Here is an 18,488-nt window from a genome sequence, read left to right as displayed (position 1 = left end):
GGGTCTCACTATGTTGCCCAGGCTGGTCTCAAACTCCTGGGCTCAAGTGGTCCTCCTACCTTGGCCTCCAAACGTAAATTTCAGATAAGCAACAATGATGTTTTGTGTAAGTGTATCTCATAAATTATACTTACACTTACCTGAAATTCACATTTAACTGGGCATCCCGTGTTTTGTTTAGCAGCTCTACCTCTGGATAGCCTAGAAATTTGTTCATAATGACCTGCCAGCAGGCTCTATAGAAGTGTAAAGAGAGCTATGTGGCTTCCTTGTTTGTGAAACCCGTTTTCTTCCAGTGGTTCCCAACAAAAGAAATTTACAAATGCCTCTAATGATGATATCCAGTTTTTGTTATTTATAGAAAAGTGTCCTATCCAATATTCACATTTTGTGTGTTAAGTAAAATGCTTTCCTATAAAGAAATCTGAAATTTTCTCTAGAGCTGTTTGTTCAAACTTACTTTTCAGTCATTTTTTTCATGAGTCCCTTTTATTGAAATGCCTTTGCGTCACACAGTGGACATCAGGAGGCCTGGTTCGGTCACCAGCAACTTGGCCAGATGTTGAAGCTGCCCCTGGTTCACTCCAGGCCTTCTTGGTCTCCTCCTGCACTGGTTACTTATATGTAGACCATGAAAATTCACAGCACGTGAGCATTGCTCACAGTGCGTGGGAGACCCTGTGTGCCTATGGTGTATAGGTCGCTAATAGGGAATGCAGAGAGTAGGTTTAAATTGGGACTAATCATCAAGAATGATTAGGAGATGTTCTCTAGGGTCCCCCTCCTGGTTCTGTAAAAGGCAAACTAGTTAGAAGGTTAGAAATGTTTATCTACTGATAGTGTTTGGTTTGTAACCTGTTAATGAGTGGAGCATGTTCCCGGACTCAGGATGAGAGCCTCCAAAGCATAGCCAGTCTCTTAGGTCAACAGTGATACCCACATTGCCTTGGCAGGGCCGGCCTGTGCACTGGGGTTGCTGAAGGGGTTTACACCCACCTGCTGTTCCTTTTGAGTCTCTCTTCCTGTCTTCTGTCGCTGGCAGTATGCTCTTCCTGGAGGATGACTGGACCTTTCTAACCCCTTCTGAGCTGACCTCTGTGGAGTTTTCTTGGTGGCACGTGTCACACCGGGGCATCCGTGTCTTCCTGCTGCCCCTCAGAATGAGACAGAAGTCTGGGTTCTGGGTGGAAGGCATCCTTGCATTGGCTACCCTGACTTCTTCTCCTCCCATGGGTTCAGACCCCAGCCCTCAGGACCCAAGAGGCACAGGATTTCCCAGATTTCCCTGTGCAGCTTCTGGGAGACTGAAATCACTGGGAAGGGGTCTTCGTTCCCTGGGTCAACAACATTTGTGGAGTACTGATTTTGTGCTGGCCATTGAAGTAGGATTTTGTACAGACTCAGGCTCACGAATGTGTAATGTGTTACTAAAAAACTTGTTTGGGGCCATGGCTCACACCTGTAAACTCAACACAGGGAGGCTGAGGCAGGAGAACCACTTGAGCCCGGGAGTTCAAGACCAGCCTGGGCAACATAAACAGACCCTGTCTCTATAAAAAAATTTAAAAAATTAGCCAGGTGTGGCGGCACACACCTCTGGTCCTAGCTGCAGTGGGGACTGAGGTGGGAGGATCAGCTGAGCCTGAGAGTTCAAGACCAGCCTGGGCAACATAGCCAGACCTCATCTCTACAAAAAATAAAAAAATTATCAGGGTGTGGTGGTGCTTATAGTCCCAGCTACATGAGAGGGCTGCGGTGGGAGGATTGCTTGAGCCGAGGAGGTCAAGGCTGCAGTGAGCCATGATCACAGCACTGCACACAACCTCTGCCTCCCGGGTTCAAGTGATTCTCCTGCCTCAGCCTCCCAAGTAGCTGGGATTACAGGCGCCTGCCACCATACCCGGCTAATTTTTGTGTTTTTAGTAGAGACAGGGTTTCACCGTGTTGGCCAGGCTGGTCTCGAACTCCTGACCTCAAGTGATCCGCCCACTTGGGCCTCCCAAAGTGCTGGGATTACAGGCCTGAGCCACTGCACCCAGCCTGTATCTATGGGCCTTCGGGACAATGAGAATGATAATGTCGGGGTTTGGTGTTTGCTCCCAGACCCCTTTTGCCCTTGGGAGCGAGTCTGTGTCACTGCAGTGGTCCTGCAGATGCCTGTTGGCGCTACTGAAGATCTGGGAGGAGCTCCGATTGTGTTTATGGCAGGGAGTGTCTTAGCAGAGTGGCTCCATCTAGCTTTAGAACATGTCTTGCTGGTTTCGAACAGGGCTTGTTTGATTTGAATGTTTCATGTTCCAGATTCTTTACGAACTGCTCATTGTCGCAGGCCCAGGAAGGTTCTCTGAGCAGCATCGGATGTTTTTGCTCTGTGGAGGGTACTCTGTGCCTCGAGATGGGGGTGGGGGAGATCAAAGGTAACCCCACTGGCTCGTCCCCAGCTGAGGAGTCCCCTGCTCCAAGATGGTTTTCACTGTGGTCCTCCCATAGCTCCTGTGCCTTTGTCTTCTATACTTCCCCTCTACCGCCATGTCTCTTGTTTTCTAAAATAATTATAGATAGAGAAGCATGGGGAATATTCCTCGGCTCCTCTAGTGAGCCAGGCCAAGTGGCGCGGGTCCCAGGGCTATGTGTCCTAGACATGAGTCAGCAAGTGTGACTCCGAAGCCAGCTGTGCTTGAGGAAGCACTGTGGGGAGTGATTTGGCTGGAGACTTCTGTTTGTGCGTGGTTGTTCACTTTCTGGTTCTCAGATTAGGCTCTGACCATTTTCATTATTAATTTTTTTTTGCCCAGACTGGGTTCACATTAGTGATGGCTGCAGCTGTCAGCGGAGGAAGACCAAACAACTCCTCCAGGGACAAGAGCTCTGACCTCTGTCCCGTCTCTTTGTGTCCAACTCGGAATCCATACTCGGCTCTCTTCACCTCCAGGGTCTTGCCGCCCTAATTCATGTCTCTGAGTGTTTAGTGCTTTGGGGTTATCCAAAACTCATGCCTTGGGGGCGTGCCGATTTGCTCTGAGGTGGTGAGTTCTCGAGTGACACCTCTGTGGATGGCTATTCCTCCCTGATGTTCTAGCTAGCTTCCCGAGGGACCCACCAAATTCTCCAGAAACTCCCTCTCCCTTCCCGCTGCCTCCCGCAAACACATTCGGACGCCTGTCTTCTTTTCCTGGCCTGTGCTTTCTTCCTCTTGGAGTGTGGCATTTGGAATCAAGTCACCTGGGGAGATTTCAGACAACAGCCACAAAGCCCAGCTCCGCTGAGGGGAGACTAATTACACAGCTAATTAATCCAACAGATGTCATTTTAAGTGCTCATTTCTGTGTGATTTGGTTACACACGCCCTGCGTTGCTGAGATGGGCACGGGGCCCTGTTGGAAAGTATCTTTTATTTTTTAATCAGACTTTAAGGAAGAGCATATTTCCTGTCCATCTTTTATGCTCTAGTGACATATCCCTGGTTTTCCAGAACTGTCTCTCCAGCTGCTGTACCCACACACGGCATCTCTGCCCCACACGGGTGTCACACTGTTTGGCACCACGCTGGTCTCTGCGTCATGTGCTAGGTGGTTTCACCAACTGGTTCGTAAACCTCTTGAGGACCTGGATTGCCTTCAGTTTTGTGAGTTTCTCAAGAATGCAGCACAAGTAGACATCAGCAGGTGGTTATCCGTTTCTCTCCATTTACTCTCTTGTCTTTACTGACAGCAAGTTTCTTTGCAAGAAAAGTAGCTGAGGAGTGTCTGAAAGGTGTTGTTTTACAAGTGGAGGGTTAAGAAGTATAGGACACCAGTGATTGTTGGAAAACTGAAAAAGTCGTGCATAGGACAAACAAACCAAAAAAAGGCTCTTGGAGGCAGAGGAGGAAGGTCAGGAAGTGAGAGGAGATGGTGTTTTCCTTCCTTCCCTCTGCAGTGGTAGAAGTGGAACAGAGAGGATGGAAAGGTACTGCCTTCTGCAGGTGGCGTGGGAGCAGCTGCGGGGTGTAGCATGGCGGTGGCCCTGAAGCTGGCAGCCTGTACTCATGGAAGTCACCTGGTCCTCCATGGGGGCTGGCACCCAAGGCCCAAGGCCGCATTGCCCAGCAACCCCTCACTCTGAATCATGCCCACTCTGGGAGTTGACTCACCATGTCCCCTCCCAGTTGCTGGATCCAGAAGTGACACTTTTCACCACTAGTAGGACAGGTCGCCAGTGGTTTCTGTGTTGCTGACTCTGTCGGCTGTGTCCTAATTCGCCGGACCTTTCAGCCGCCTTTGCCACTCTTGCCCTTTGTCTATCTCTGTTGGCTTCTCTTCTGTGACTTCACGATGAGTGTTATTATGCCCCCAGGCTTGTCCCAGAGCCCCTTCTTTTTTCTGTCTGTAACTCTCCCTAAGTATCTCATTCAGTCCAGTGGTTTTAAACCCCATCTACTTTCTGATGACATCTGAATCTGTCCCTAGCCTAGGCCTCTTCCTGTATCCAGCTCCCCACCTGGCATTTGCATTCGAATGTCTGAGAATGAACTCCGCAGGCTTAGCATGGTGCAGAAAGGACTCTGTGACCAGAACCCCCAAATGCTTATGGGCTCCCCCATCTCGGTTAGGGCCACCTCCAGCATATCATTTGCTTAACCCAAAAAGCTGGGAACTATCTGTGGGGCTCCTTGTCTTTTGCTCCCCTACAGCCAAACCATCAGCAAGTTCTGTGGGTGCTTCCTTCAAAAATACATTTGCACCACCACCCTCCCAGGCCAGCCCCCATCGTCTCTCTGTATTTCAACTCTCCCCCGCCTCTACTCTTGCCCTTTACAATCCCCTCTCCATACAGGGATTTTACGAAGAGGAAAATCAGGTCATATCACTCTCTTGCAAAGACCCCACAAAGGCTTTCCACCTCACTTAAGATAAAAGCTCACCTTTGTACTGTGGCTTACAAGCTCCTTTGTGATCTGAACTCCTCCCACCATGCTGACCTCATTTTACAACCCTCTCCCCTTTGCCCCCTACACTGCAGCCACAGCAGCCTTCTCTGTTCATTCAACATGCTAAGCTGGCGCCTGCCACAGGGCCTTTGCACTTGCTGTTCTACTGAGTGTATGTACCTCCTTGACCTTGACATTCAGCTCTCATTCAATATCTGGTCGTCAAAGAGGCTTTCCCTGACAACCCAGTCTCAAGGAGCTACACCATCACTTCACTCAAGATAACTTCTCTGCATTGACAGTGATTATATTTATTTTTCTTGTCTGTTCATTAATTTAGTTGTCTGCCAAGACAGCAGAGACCTACGTTGCCCCATTAACAGCTCTGTCCCTAATGCTTAGAACAGTGTGTGACACCAGCTCAATAAATATTGAACCATAGGGTACCAGCAGAGCATGCCGTGCTTCTGCCCTGTGCTAGAACAGGTACAACAGCCTCATGCGCACACTTGGCATTTCATAAGGTAGAGCCCTAAGGCATATGTTGGTGTAAAGTGGATGGCTTGTGTGGACCAGGTCATTGCAGAGCTTCTGCAGCCCAGGTCATTTACCATCAGCTTCACACACAGCTCTGTTCCTGTACTGACCCCTGAGACACAGCCCTGGCAAGATCATGCAGCTGGTGTCAAATTACTTTGAAAATTCCCACGTGCTGCTGGCCACCCGTGAGTTTCGGCTCTGTCCGCCCAAATTCTGCCAACTAAAATCACTGCTCTTTCTCCCCAGCACTCTCATCAAAATGCCTTGTTCCTTTCCCATTCTTATGATAGACCATATTTTTAGTGGTCTTTCTTCTCTGCTTAGTTGTAAGATCCTTACCGGTGGGATCTGTTTATTCTCACCCAACTTTGTAGCCTTCCCAGGGTCTTGGGGATATTAGGTAGACTATCAGCAAGTGTCGCCTGATGATTTGATGGCAAAAGATGGATTTTTTTTTTTTTTTTAAGACAGAGTGTCACTCTGTCGCCCAGGCTGGAGTGCAGTGGCGTGATCTCAGCTCACTGCAACCCCCCCCTCCCGAGTTCAAGCGATTCTCAGCCTTCCGAGTAGCTGGGACTACAGGCACATGCCACCATGCCCAGCTAATGTTTGTATTTTTAGTAGTGATGGGGTTTCACCAAGTTGCCCAGTCTGGTCTCGAACTCCTGACCTCGGGCGATCCGCCTGCCTCTGCCTCCCAAAATGCTGGGATTACAGGTGTGAGCTACCGCACCCGGCCAAAAGACGGAATCTTAAACATAGAAATTTAAAGATTAGGGGCAGCCCCGAGTCGCCTCCTCCCTCAGTTTCCCTAGAGGCTCCTCTCCTGCTTTCGTTCCCTTATCCTTGGGCGAGCGTCTTTGTCTGAATGATGCTTACTTAGTCCCATATCTGATTGTCCCCCGCCCTGAGAACCACATTTTTGGTGGCAGAACATATTCCCAGTGAGAGAAGCTCTGACCTGCTTCTCTCCTCCTGTCCCATGTACAAGCCACACGTCCTTGAGCACCCGCTATGCGCAGGATAACGTCCTTGCTTCTTTAGGGCAGTGACTTTTAAACTTTGTTGACGATAATCTAAAAAGAAATGCATTTTACATGAGTGACCCAGCACATACATATAGCTAGATATTCTGTATATTTGACTAAAACAGAAATTGTGCAGAATGATTTTATCCTTACTGCAGGTGCTACATTCTGATGCTTTCTATTACATTCAATTCTGTTTTGTTTTACAAATGCTGGTTGTACTCACAGCATGGATTTCATGATCCCCTGACATGATCCTGATTTCGTAATCCAGCGACTCTTAGCCCAGGGGCCTTTAAAAAACTACGCCTGCCTGGCTTGACCCCCAGAGGTTGTGGTTTCATTTACTGTCGGATTCTGATGTGCGGCTGCAGTTTGAGAACCACTGCACTAATGGGTCATGATCCACAGTTTAAGAAACTGTATTACTGTGATACGTAATACAAAGAGGAATTGATCATTCAGTAAGAGCCGTCAAATGCGGACACAAGAGTTATGAAGGTGAAGGGAGGGAGCAGCCACACCCAACTGGTTAGATCCAAAAAGACCTCTGGGAGGGAGGGGCAAGCTGGAGTTTGAGCAAGATTTAAAGAGGGTAGAATCATATAGAAAGGTGAACTAGACAGAGGACAAAGGCAGATTCATTCTTGTACTTACTGAACCTGTGGCTATGGTACTAAAATAATTTTAATAACTGGAACTTCTTCTCACATACTTGTGGATACTACTCTGTTTTATTTTTTTGAGAGAGTCTCGCCTTGTCACCCAGGCAGGAATGCAATGGTGTGATCTCAGCTCAGTGCAAGCTTCGCCTCCCGGGTTCAAGTGATTCTCCTGCCTCAGCCTCCCAAGTAGCTGGGATTACAGGCGCCCGCCACCAGGCCCGGCTAACTTTTTTTGTATTTTTAACAGACACGGGGTTTTACCATGTTGGCCAGGCTGGTCTCGAACTCCTGACCTCAAGTGATCCTCCTGCCTCAGCCTCCTAAAGTATTGGAATTACAGGCTGAGCCATCACGCCTAGCCTACTCTAACTTTTAAAAGAAAGCTGTGGCCGGGCGTGGTGGCTAACCTCTGTAATCCTAGCACTTTGGGAGGCTGAGATAGGTGGATCACCAGGTCAGGAGATGGAGGCCATCCTGGCTAACACGGTGAAACCCCATCTCTACTAAAAATACAAAAAATTAGCTGGGCGTGGTGGAGGGCACCTGCAGTCCCAGCTACTCGGGAGGCTGAGGTGGGAGAATGGCATGAACCCGGGAGGCAGAGCTTGCAGTGAGCCGAGATCGCGACACTGCACTACAGCCTGGGCGACAGAGCGAGACTCTGTCTCAAAAAAAAAAAAAAAAAAAAAAAGAAAGTTGTGAGCTAAACATTTCATAATAACAACACACTGGAGTTTGGGTCTTTTTAGTGTTTTGCTAGTCAGGAAGTCTGCTCACGTGATCTATTAAAATAATAAAACTACAATAAAAACCCATAAACAAAAAGAAAACTGTAGTTGAGGCTGTGCATGCTGGAGTAGGGGGAGGGGTGGAGTGTACTGCTTCTGCAGTTTACTTTGGAATGAATAAAAGATGTAAGGCACATTGATAGCAGGATAAAGAGAAGGCTGTAAAATAGACAGCAAAGCATTAATTTCAGCAGCTGGGTGGTGGATACTTAAGTGTCTACTGTATGATTTTTTTTTCAACTCATCTCCTTGGTTGGAGATGTTCATAATGCAATGTGAGGGTAAAATACTAAAACCTAATGGTGAAATGTTCTCTCCTCTCTCGGCTCCACTGTGTAGAAGCTTCGAGGTCTCTTCTCAATCCCTGCTGTCCTCCCCTCCACCTTCCTACTCCTCTGGGAGAGTAGTAATGATGATCTGTTGTGTCTCTGAAGACAGGGCTCAGATTGGTTATTTCTGTTTTTGCAGACGAGGGCATACATTTCACTAGAGGTAGTAACATACCTGGTTAAGAGCGCTCAAGCTACTGCGGGAGAGGCCATGGAAATCTAATGGGATCTGACCATTCAGGAGGTGTCTGGATGCCCACGAGATGCCGGGCACATGTTGGTGTGGCAGGTGGAGTGGGGCTCAGTGGGTGCTGCAGACTAGAAAAATTTAAGATAGGATGTCCATGCGTCTTAAAGGAAACCCAGATAGCTCTTGGGGTTTTAAGGAGGGAGAAGATGCCTGGTGTCAGGCTGCCTGGGTTTGAATCCCAGCTCCTGGGACTTAATTCCTGTTTGTTCATCATCTGTAAAATGGGCTAATAGAATGACTTGCTTTGATAGGACTCTCGAATGACTTAAATGAGATAATACATGAAATGCACCTAGACGCAGTCTGCATATAGCATCAGAAAGGTGTTAAGGACTCTGCTTTTCTGCATTAGATTTCCCATCGTCTTCTTAGACCACACAACTGACGTTATTTTTATAATTTGGTTTTAATTAGCTTTGAACTTGACACGCTGTTGGTTTGGAGAATGGAAAGGTCAGTGGATTTTTTTTTTTTTTTTTTTTTTGGTGCGGAGCAGGGAGATGGAATTTCCCTGAAGAGAGATTATGACCGATGTTTAGTGAAATGACCTTGAGCCAGTAATTTAACCTTGGCCAATCTGTAGTGGCCTCATCTGAAGGAGGTGGAGCTTGGATTCCTCACTAAGTCTCCTTCAAGCACTAAGTGTGTGTTTGTAGGACTTTTTTTTTTTCCCAAAGGGATATCTCCATCTCCTCTCCTAAGTAATGGAGCAAAAAGTGATCTAGTGAAGTACTCAGGAAAATTAGAAAGTGATTCAAGTCCAGCTGCATTGTGGCTATGGCTTGCTCCACCCCTTCCCTGAGAAGTACCTAAGACATCATCCGTTGTGAGAAGGAAATGATGTTACCTTCACTGACATAATTTTATCATATTGTCCCACATAACCTGGGAGGTTTCAGTATTTGTTTGTTTCTTTTTAAATAGGACTTCCTGCAAGCATCAACACACATGTATTTCCCTTATGTGACCAAAATTAGATGCAAGTTAGAACGTAGGCTTGGAAACTGGCATAGAGTACACAGGACACTCAGGGGAACTATACTCCTTGGTAGTTTTCATTCCCTTACATGTATATTTTTCTGATTAAAGCTAGTGCATATTCACTCTAAAAAAATAAAGCCACAATCTAGAAATACACAGCTTAGAGGACAAAGATGGAAAAACGAGAATATATTTGACTTTGGTTCTTGTTATGGTTCGTGTTTGTATCTGTTTACATTTTGTAACCTTGGCAATACCACAGAATATCGTAAAAGGGGGAACAGCTTCTGGACGCAAGTGAGTGTTAGCTGGTGTTGCAAAGCTCACATACCCTCGTTGCATAAGTGAGTTCATTTGTATCGAAAACCACAGTGTCCGTGGCTCGGATGACTTAACATTGCCTTAGGAATCTCACTTTAATGTTCACATCAGTGTCCTTGCTTGTGGCTGTATCATCCCAATCTCCCTTCACTGTAGGGAGCACCTGCAGTCAAGTATGCAAAACTGTTTCCATGGCAACCCTTTGTTACCCATTAATTTAAAATATTCCAAAATTTTTCTCCAGCTGAAACTTTTTTTTTTTTTTTTTTAAATGGTGCATCCCTCCTCTTCCCTGTCGGTACGTTGGAAGTTAATCTCCTTGGCTACTGAAGTCATGATTGTTTTCTCCCTTCCCCCGACCTCTTTTGAAAGCTGAAGAGTGTGTGTGTGTGTGTGTGTGTGTGTGTGTGTGTGTGTGTGTGTGTGTGTGTAATGAAATAAATGGCTAATCCCAGAATCTCTGATTACAGCTCTGAGTCAACAAGTGGGAGGAAATGCCTCCCTTCTTGATTTGAAAGAAGGAGAACTTAATGCGAAACCGTCTTTAACATCTGAAACGATGTGCGAAGTATGTGCAACAGAAACAAAATCTCACCAAGCTCATGACCTGCCTGATGATTAGATGCATAAGTGGATCTGGAAAGTATACTTGAAAAACAGAGCAGCTCTTTGTAATGTGAATGGTGAATTGAATGGGTACTAGGAGGACTGAGTTTTGGCAACATACGTTTCATGCTGGTGTCAAGAGGTGTATAAGAAATAAGTCCACAGCTTATGTTTGGAAACTTTCACCTATGAAATGAAATGCAAATCAGTGGCAATAAACATGTTAAGGTTGCAAATTTGAACACAAATGAAGAAATGCAAAAGAAAGTTTTGCATAGCAATACTCATTTCACGTGAGTTAGTTATTACTATCAAATATGATATTGTAACGTCCAGGATGTGGGGTACGGCTCAGTGATGGCACCTTGTACCACATTTTACATTTTATGACTGTCATATACAAGTCTTTTGCATTTCTTACGTGTAGGTAATGATTTGGTCATTTATTCTTACCAGAACCGTAATCTTCCTTATTTTGGCAATGTACAGGCATTATTTTTGTTTTCTTCCGTAGTAGGTTTTATGAGTATTTCTAAATGTATCAGTTCTGATCTGTTATTCACTATTGGCAGTGGCTGAAAGAGCTAAGTGCTGGCTGTGTTTTATAGCTGTGTAGCTTTCAATTGCTATTGTCTGCTCCATAGCCCTTTAATTTCTGAAGCATCCTTGCCATTATGTCACAAGCGGGTTGTGTTCAGATCATTTCGGGTCTTAGGACTTTGGGCCTCGAGATACTTTGCACTTATAAAATCTGTCTGCAAGAGATCACACAGAATCCATTATCTCCTTATCGCCCGTCCTCTTTTTTTTTTAAGCTTATGTTTATTTTTCTTTTTTCCCCTCCAATTCCAAATAGTTTGGCAAAGATTTTTAGGTGCAGAAGAACCATAAAGGGGTGTTTTGATCAGATGCCGCTCCCCTCCCTTGGGGTGACAAAAATGGGCGAGAAGCTGTGTTTGTTAGGAGAGTATGAAGTATATTATTTTATTTTATTTTATTTATTTATCTATTGAGACTGAGTTTCACTCTTGTCACACAAGCTGGAGTACAGTGGCAAGATCTCAGCTCACTGCAACCTCCACCTCCCGTGTTCAAGTGATTCTCCTGCCTCAGCCTCCCAAGTAGCTGGGATTACAGGCGCCCGCCACCACGCCTGGCTAATTTTTGTAATTTCAGTGGAGACGGAGTTTCACCATGTTGGCCAGGCTGGTGTTGAACTCCTGACCTCCAGTGATCCGCCCACTTCGGCCTCCCAAAGTGCTGGGATTACAGGCGTGAGCCACCGCGCCCAGCCTGTTTTCTTTTTTAAGTGAACGTTTCTTTTCCTCTTGTCCTCCTTTTCATGCTGGGGGGCTGGGAGCCCAGCACATCCATGTGACTGCATTCGGTTCAGCATAATTGATGCGGTCTCCTTTCCCACAGCTGATGAGGATTATGTCAGCTTGGTTTAACAGTCTCATTTTCTGCTCCCAGTGCACACTTGTTTTAATGTGTTTCGGTTAATGAGGTAGAAGAGAGAATGAGGTGTTACTGTTTATGTACAGCCAGCTTGCGTGGAGGGCCCTGTCGCAGCCCGCGTGGCCCCAGGCATCCTCTGGGGCAAGAGCCACAGGGCGAGGCCACCTTTCAGAACACAGTTTTTCCTGGCTGAGGAATGCAGATCCTGATGATGACCTGTAAGCTTTGCCAAATAGTCTTATTTCTACCATTTGTGTTCTCTAGACATATCGTTCTCATGTAATGATGAAAAGATTAAACTTGGCTTAGAGCTTGGGGTGCATTTGAGGGAGCTGATCAAACACTTCACCCCCAGAGCTTTTTCAAACTTAGCTTTTGCATCCCTTTCACCAGTCCCTCACCCCCGGGTGGACCTCTCCCCAAGCAAGGGTCAGTTAATTTAACATATAGGTAGAACCAATATCAAAAATCCAGGTGGAGTTAAGCAGTAAGAATTTGATTTTTTACCTCACTCTTTTTTTTTTTTTTTTTTAGACAGGGTCTGGCGGCTCTGTCGCCCAGGCTGGAGTGCAGTGGCGCCATCTCGGCTCACTGCAACCTCCACTTCCCAGGTTCAAGAAATTTTTCTGCCTCAGCCTCCTGAGTAGCTGGGATTACAGGTGTGTGCCACCACACCCAGCTGATTTTTGTATTTTCAGTAGAGATGGAGTGTCTCCCTGTTGGCCTGACTGTTCTTGAACTCCTGACTTTTAGTGATCTGCCCACCTTGGCCTCCCAAAGTGCTGGGGTTATAGGCATGAGCTCCCGCACCCAGCCAAGCCTCATTCTGTTGTCCAGCCTGGAGTGCAGTGGTGCAATTTTAGCTCACTGCAGCCTCAACCTCCTGGGCTCAGGCCATCCTCCTGCCTCAGCCTCCTGAGCAGCTGGGACTACAGGCACATACCACCACACCCAGCTAAACTTTTTATTTTATGGTAGAGATGGGGTCTTGCTGTGTTGCCCAGGTTGGTCTTGAACTCATGACCTCAAGCCATCCTCCCTACTGGGATTACAGGCCTGAGCCACTATATCTGGCCTAAGAATTTGTATTTTATCTTACGTGGATCAGAACAGTGCTACTGGTGAGGGAGGTAAAAGAGATCAAAGAGTCTTCCAGGGGTAATCTTATATGAACAGGCATCTGGTTTGGGTCATGACTTGGTTCTTGCTTATCTGTGGAGCTTGGGCCTAGAGTTTGGGGGCCTATCATAAACACCGCTGACCCCTCCTTAGGGTGCCTTGGTGAGCCGGGTGCTGCCAGAGAACAGCCAGGAAACCAAGACTTGGGCCGAGGGGTTGTGGTGGGGGCGCTTTTGCATGTATTCAAATCTCCAGTCCTGGATGCATGGACAGCAAAGGGAATATCAGGGGTACAACAGCAACTTTCCCTCTTTGGGACCAACCCAAGCCATTTTGTCAATTGGGCACACATTGTGGAAAGACCTGTTCTCCTACCTCCTACCCGCTCTTTCCATCTTCCCCTTAAGCCCTTTCCTCTCTCGCTCCCCCTCGCTCCCCTTCGCTCCCCCTCGCTCCCCTCCCCCTCCCTCTCTCCCCTCCCCCTCCCTCTCTCCCCTCCCCCTCCCTCTCTCCCCTCCCCCTCCCTCTCTCCCCTCCCCCTCCCCTCCCCCCATCCTCCACATCATTGAGCACCCTAAATGGTTAAACCCGTTGCCTGGCCTTGGCACGGTGCCAGCCCCAGGGGGCACTGTGCAGCCTGGAGGCCTCTGGCGCATCCCAGCTTCCAAAGGCACAGTGGCCGTGGGTTTCAGCAGGAATTAAACAATTACTGAGTCTTAGTCCTCCCCACCTTCCGTGGATTGACTCTATAAATTGTCAGCCTGTTGACATTTTAATGCGAATTATGTCATGTGGTATCCCCTTTGATTTCGACATGCCTCAGTTTGTAAATACATGAGCCACTCAAAGGCTTGTGGTTAGTGTACACTCCGGAGGCCTCAGGGTTTTTGGTGGGGGAGAGCGCGCTGGAGGGAGCACAATGCTGGGAGTGTGCCTGGCGCAGAGAGGCTGCTGCAGCTCCCCCGGGCGGCTCCGGAGGGGCGGGGGGCTGTGCGGAGGGCCTGCTGCCAGCCCCAGTGCCATGCTGGGAACCTCCCAGCCCCTCGCGGGCCGCTGGGAAGGCCACTGCCTTTGAGTCCAAGTCACGAGATATTTTTATTGAGGGCATCGGTGGCTGAACGTTCCCCCAAATCCTCCTTTTGTGAGGTGTGATGTCACTTCCCCCATCACCTGCACCTGGAGAAGAACTGACTTATTCCAGATTCCAAGGCAAATCAGGAGGCCAAGGGGGCACGGCCTGGAGCAGGTGTTGCCCTCAGAAGAACTTGGCCATCCCAGCGGGAGAATGAATCGGGAGGATTGTTAAGGAAAGACTCGATGGGTATTGAGAAATTGAGAGAGAAGGAAGACAAGGAGGAAGGATTACTGTGACACAGGGAGAAGACTCATTGGTGTGGGTCTAAACAAATTTAAATAAAAATTTTTTACTACTGTTTAAAAATGGAAATTATTTTATTTTAACCAATGTCTGACCAAGTGAAACTGACCAAGTGAAATTCTCTGACCAAGTGAAGAAGGAGTGGAGACCTGAAGGTTCTGAATGTTCAAATTCTAAAAGTGAAATTCCAGGGAAGAAATATGGAAATAGATTTTTAGAGGTAATTTCAAGTGAGAACAGCTGAGAAGCCCCTATGCTGGGACTCTCCTCCAGCTCATGGTTCCTAACACCCTGTTCTCTGTCTCCTGACCTCTTGATTGGAGACTTTCCTATAAATTTCGTAAACCTGGGGGAGCTGGCTTCTTGGTAATCCTTTGTGTGTAGGATGTCAGTGGTCTAGAGAGAACTAGCCATCTGGAGGTCTGATGGGCTGTGCCCAGAGGAGGTTGGCCAGGATAGACCCAGAGAACGGGCCAGGAGTAGAAACATTGGTCTCTGCTTTGTGTAGGAGAGGCAGGAGCATGTAATCGCCCCTCATCTGAATACAGCAACTGCTGGGCCTGCTGTCTGTGTTGGAATTTGGCTGATTTACAGAAATGTCATGGGATCTTTGATGCCCATGGGTGGTCGGGACCTATCTCCCACGTGCTGAGCAATTCTAGTTTCATGTGCGAATAATGCCCATATTAAAACAATTAGTATCCATACTCCGAAAAGGAAGAAGGAACCCCAATTCATGTTGATCAGAGACACTTCCAGCTCATTTGAGAAAGGACTGGTAACTTCCACAAGGGCCCGAATATGTTTTTCAAAGTGGATTCTGTAATTCATTTTTAAAGAGTTGTAATACACACAAGTGTTTGGAAAGTGGAGTCGCTGTAGCTCTTTCACCTCTTCCATGGATTTATCTGGCTTTTGTTACTTGGGAAGGGGAGCGAGTGGGCGGGCAGGATAGAGTGAGAGTGTGAGAGAGACAGAGACGCAAAAATACACATTGCTTAGGGGAACTGTTTAGTTGGTTACTATGGGCAATTATATTCTAGCATCTAGTTTGAGTTTAGCTATAAGGGCATATGCAAAATAAAATGATAAGACATTAGAATAATCATGACCCATAACAACATTATTCCTTGTTAAGTTTTTAAAGGTTTCAGTTGATAGATGTGTTTCCAAATTAAAAGAAACAGTGACTTCCAAGATAAAAAGGGAGGCCTGTGCTTTTTAAATAGATCACAGAATTTTGTTTGTAACGTGAAAATAGGTCTCAGTTACCTGCTTCCTCTCTATTGTAATAATTATAAGTTAACTCTTGGGAACATGCTTTCGTGCACAAATATAGGGCCCTTTCAAGAAACTGACATGTGTTATATAATGAGTAGTGGGGGACAGGGGAGTAGCAGTCTGTGCCTCTTTGCATTTTCCTCCTGTCTTCAAGAGGACGTAAAAGCTATGGTCACTGCCCACCCTTGGCTGGTGCCCGTTCCAGCCCCTCTGGGCAGTTTGGTCAGGGAAGGAGTAGGCCCGAAGGTGACACTTGGTTTCCCAGCCCTATAAATTAGACAAATTCTGGACTATTGTAGATGATTGTGCGGGTCCATTTGCTTTCATTCATTCCTTTTTCCTCATTGCTTCAAAGTGAAAGGCAACTCAAGATAAGGGAAAGACACGGGACGGGGTTAAGTGGACACAGGTATGGGCTGCCTGTTAGCAAACCTGGGAAATGTGACCATCAGGATCACCTGTCCTTGACCCCACAGCGTGCGTATGCAGCATTGCTGCGGTGGTTGGGGACCATTTAGCCTGACCTGTGACATGCCTGTACCTCCTGAAATTTCCTGGCATTCAGGGGCCTCTAGAATTCTCTTGCCCTTTCCAGAGTTAGGGACCTCAAGGTTCTTTGTGTTGAACTTTGTGTTTAAAAAGTATAAGCTAGCTCAGTGATGGAACCGTTGACAGGGTAAAAGCGCAGTTGACTCACTCTACAGCTGCATTGACGGTGGGCAAGGATTGGTAGGAAGGAAGAAGTGGGCCAGCTTCTGGGAAGTGGGGGAAGAGTGGGCAGCCTCACGACCGATTTCGATAGCACAGCAATGGCTTTGTGTTAACTCCACATTCCAGCTTGCTCCAGCCCCACAGGTTATTTGCACAGCACACAAAGCACAGATTGTACAATGTATCCAGGTATCACTGGCATTGGCAGTTGACCGCAAATATGAATGGGACCTGTGTGTCCCCGTTGTAAGGCCTTCCCAAACCACCCCCGTGACTGCCTGGACAGAGTTCAGACTTGCCAGCTGGGGCGCCGGAGTAAGACCCATCTGCCTTCTCCGTTTTTGGGTCTATAGGTGCGTTTCTGTAAAGGGTAGGAGGAAATGGGACTGAAGTCCCATAGGACAGAAGTGCCCAGAGGAAGAAAACCCAGGAGGTTAGTTTAATAAGAAGAGAAAAAAGGAAGTTAAAGGGAGGCGGGGGCTAAACGAGAGTGAACGAGAAGGGTTTCTGACAATTAACTAATTCTCCTTGCTCTAACCCATGACAGAATTAATCACACATTAACACACTGACAGCAGAATTGATGTCATATGCAAATTAATAGTTCAGGCTTGGCATTCAACAGCCTGTTGGCTTCTTAGGGCTGGTGTCGTAGTTCTGCGCACCCAGCCGCGGCCTCTCTGTGGGCCTGGTACCATCTCACCCTCATTCGGCCTGAGAATATCCAGGGTGACTTTGTCATGGAAGCAGCATCTCATCCCATCTGCTGGCTTGAAACAACTTATGTCAAAACCCATAACCAGTTCCTTCCATGTTGTTTTCACTGTGGACACAAAGGCAGGTGTATAACAGGAGCCTGGGTTGAGGAACCCTTGGGCTGTAGTACTTTCTTACCTCCTCTTGTAGTTTTACAGTCAGTGACCGTCCTTGTAGGAAATCAGAGGCTGTTTTCTTGAACTATTCCTAGGAAGGGCCTGCGGTGTTGCCCCAGAGCTGCCCTGTTTAACAGAGGGAGCTGGGTTGCAGGGAACAAGGAGGGATAGCAGTATAGCGTCATCAAATCTAAAGTCGTTTAAGTTTTAGTTACATAATACAAAGTGAATTGTTTTATGTGGCTTCAAAGAGGTCTAACCTATTGCAACCAACTCTGAAAGACAAAATGTGAGCCTCTCCTTGATGTTAATAAATAAATAACAAGAAGAAAGAACAGTGTGTTTTATAGCATTTTGACTGCTGAACTTGAGTGCCTGGGGCAAGTGCTAGCTAGCCCGTTACAGCCGACGGCTAACCCACTTGTGAATTCGCCATCTGTGATAATTATTATTTTGACATGTAATGAGTAATCGTGTTGTGAACCAGGCATTGTACACAACTTAAAGACGTGGACCTGCCCAGTAGCCGCGTCTTGAACGTGGTAGGACGAGGCAATTCAAAGTAGGATGAAAACAGTCAACTGTGTATGTTGATCGGGAATGAGTATTGGCATTTTCTTAGTGGTGCTGATTTCCTTAGCTTTTTCATTAGCTCCCACTTCATCTACTTCATCTACTACCAAGGAGAGAGACTTGAGATTGATGAGGTCATGACAGAGATCTGGGAAGCGATGTTGTAGGCTGTGGAATGGTCTTAATTCCTGGGTGCTCCTGGTGGTGTCTGTATATGACATGTATAAAACAGGCTCAGAGACGCATCAACTATATCAGTGCCATGGAAATTAGGTCTCTGGGAAATCATTAACCTGAAATTTTGATTTTATAAATAATGTGAGGTGTTTGCCTCTATCAAGGATACAAGGCATATATATTCATAGCGTCTTTTTTTTTTTTTTTTTTCTGGTCTGAGACAGGTCTCACTCTGTCGCCCAGGCTGGAGTGCAGTGGTGTGATCACAGCTCACTGCAGCCTCTGCCTCCTAGGCTCTACAGATCCTCCCACCTCTGCCTCCCGAGTAGCTGGAACTATAGGCATGCACCACCCCGCCCAGCTAACTTTTTGTATCATTTGTAGAGATGGGCTTTCGCCATGTTGCCCAGGCTGGTGTTAAACTCCTGGGCTCGAGCGATCGATCCTCCCACCTTGGTCTCCCAAAGTGCTAGGATTACAGGCATGAGCCAACGCACCCAGC

The 18,488-nt window shown here is 47.0% G+C and overlaps 1 protein-coding gene across 10 annotated transcripts in view, besides 2 other annotated features; it reads left to right on the top strand.

Moving 5' to 3' along the window:
- The window catches only part of ZFHX3 (zinc finger homeobox 3), a 1,109,046-nt gene that overhangs the window by 950,284 nt on the left and 140,274 nt on the right, over positions 1 to 18,488 (top strand). The window lies entirely within an intron of this gene.
- Positions 2,503 to 2,797: an enhancer, noted in NCBI's record as "tiled region #14271; K562 Activating DNase unmatched - State 20:ReprD". NCBI's record gives its function as "activates a minimal TATA promoter and a strong SV40 promoter by Sharpr-MPRA in K562 cells {active_cell/tissue: K562}" and the evidence as "EXISTENCE:reporter gene assay evidence [ECO:0000049][PMID:27701403]".
- Positions 4,823 to 5,117: an enhancer, noted in NCBI's record as "tiled region #11593; HepG2 Activating DNase matched - State 14:Gen5'". NCBI's record gives its function as "activates a minimal TATA promoter and a strong SV40 promoter by Sharpr-MPRA in HepG2 cells {active_cell/tissue: HepG2}" and the evidence as "EXISTENCE:reporter gene assay evidence [ECO:0000049][PMID:27701403]".

The sequence above is a fragment of the Homo sapiens genome, chromosome 16, assembly GCF_000001405.40.
Source record: "Homo sapiens chromosome 16, GRCh38.p14 Primary Assembly".
Lineage (NCBI taxonomy): Eukaryota > Metazoa > Chordata > Mammalia > Primates > Hominidae > Homo > Homo sapiens.
This window is presented reverse-complemented; position numbering and strand designations above follow the sequence as displayed.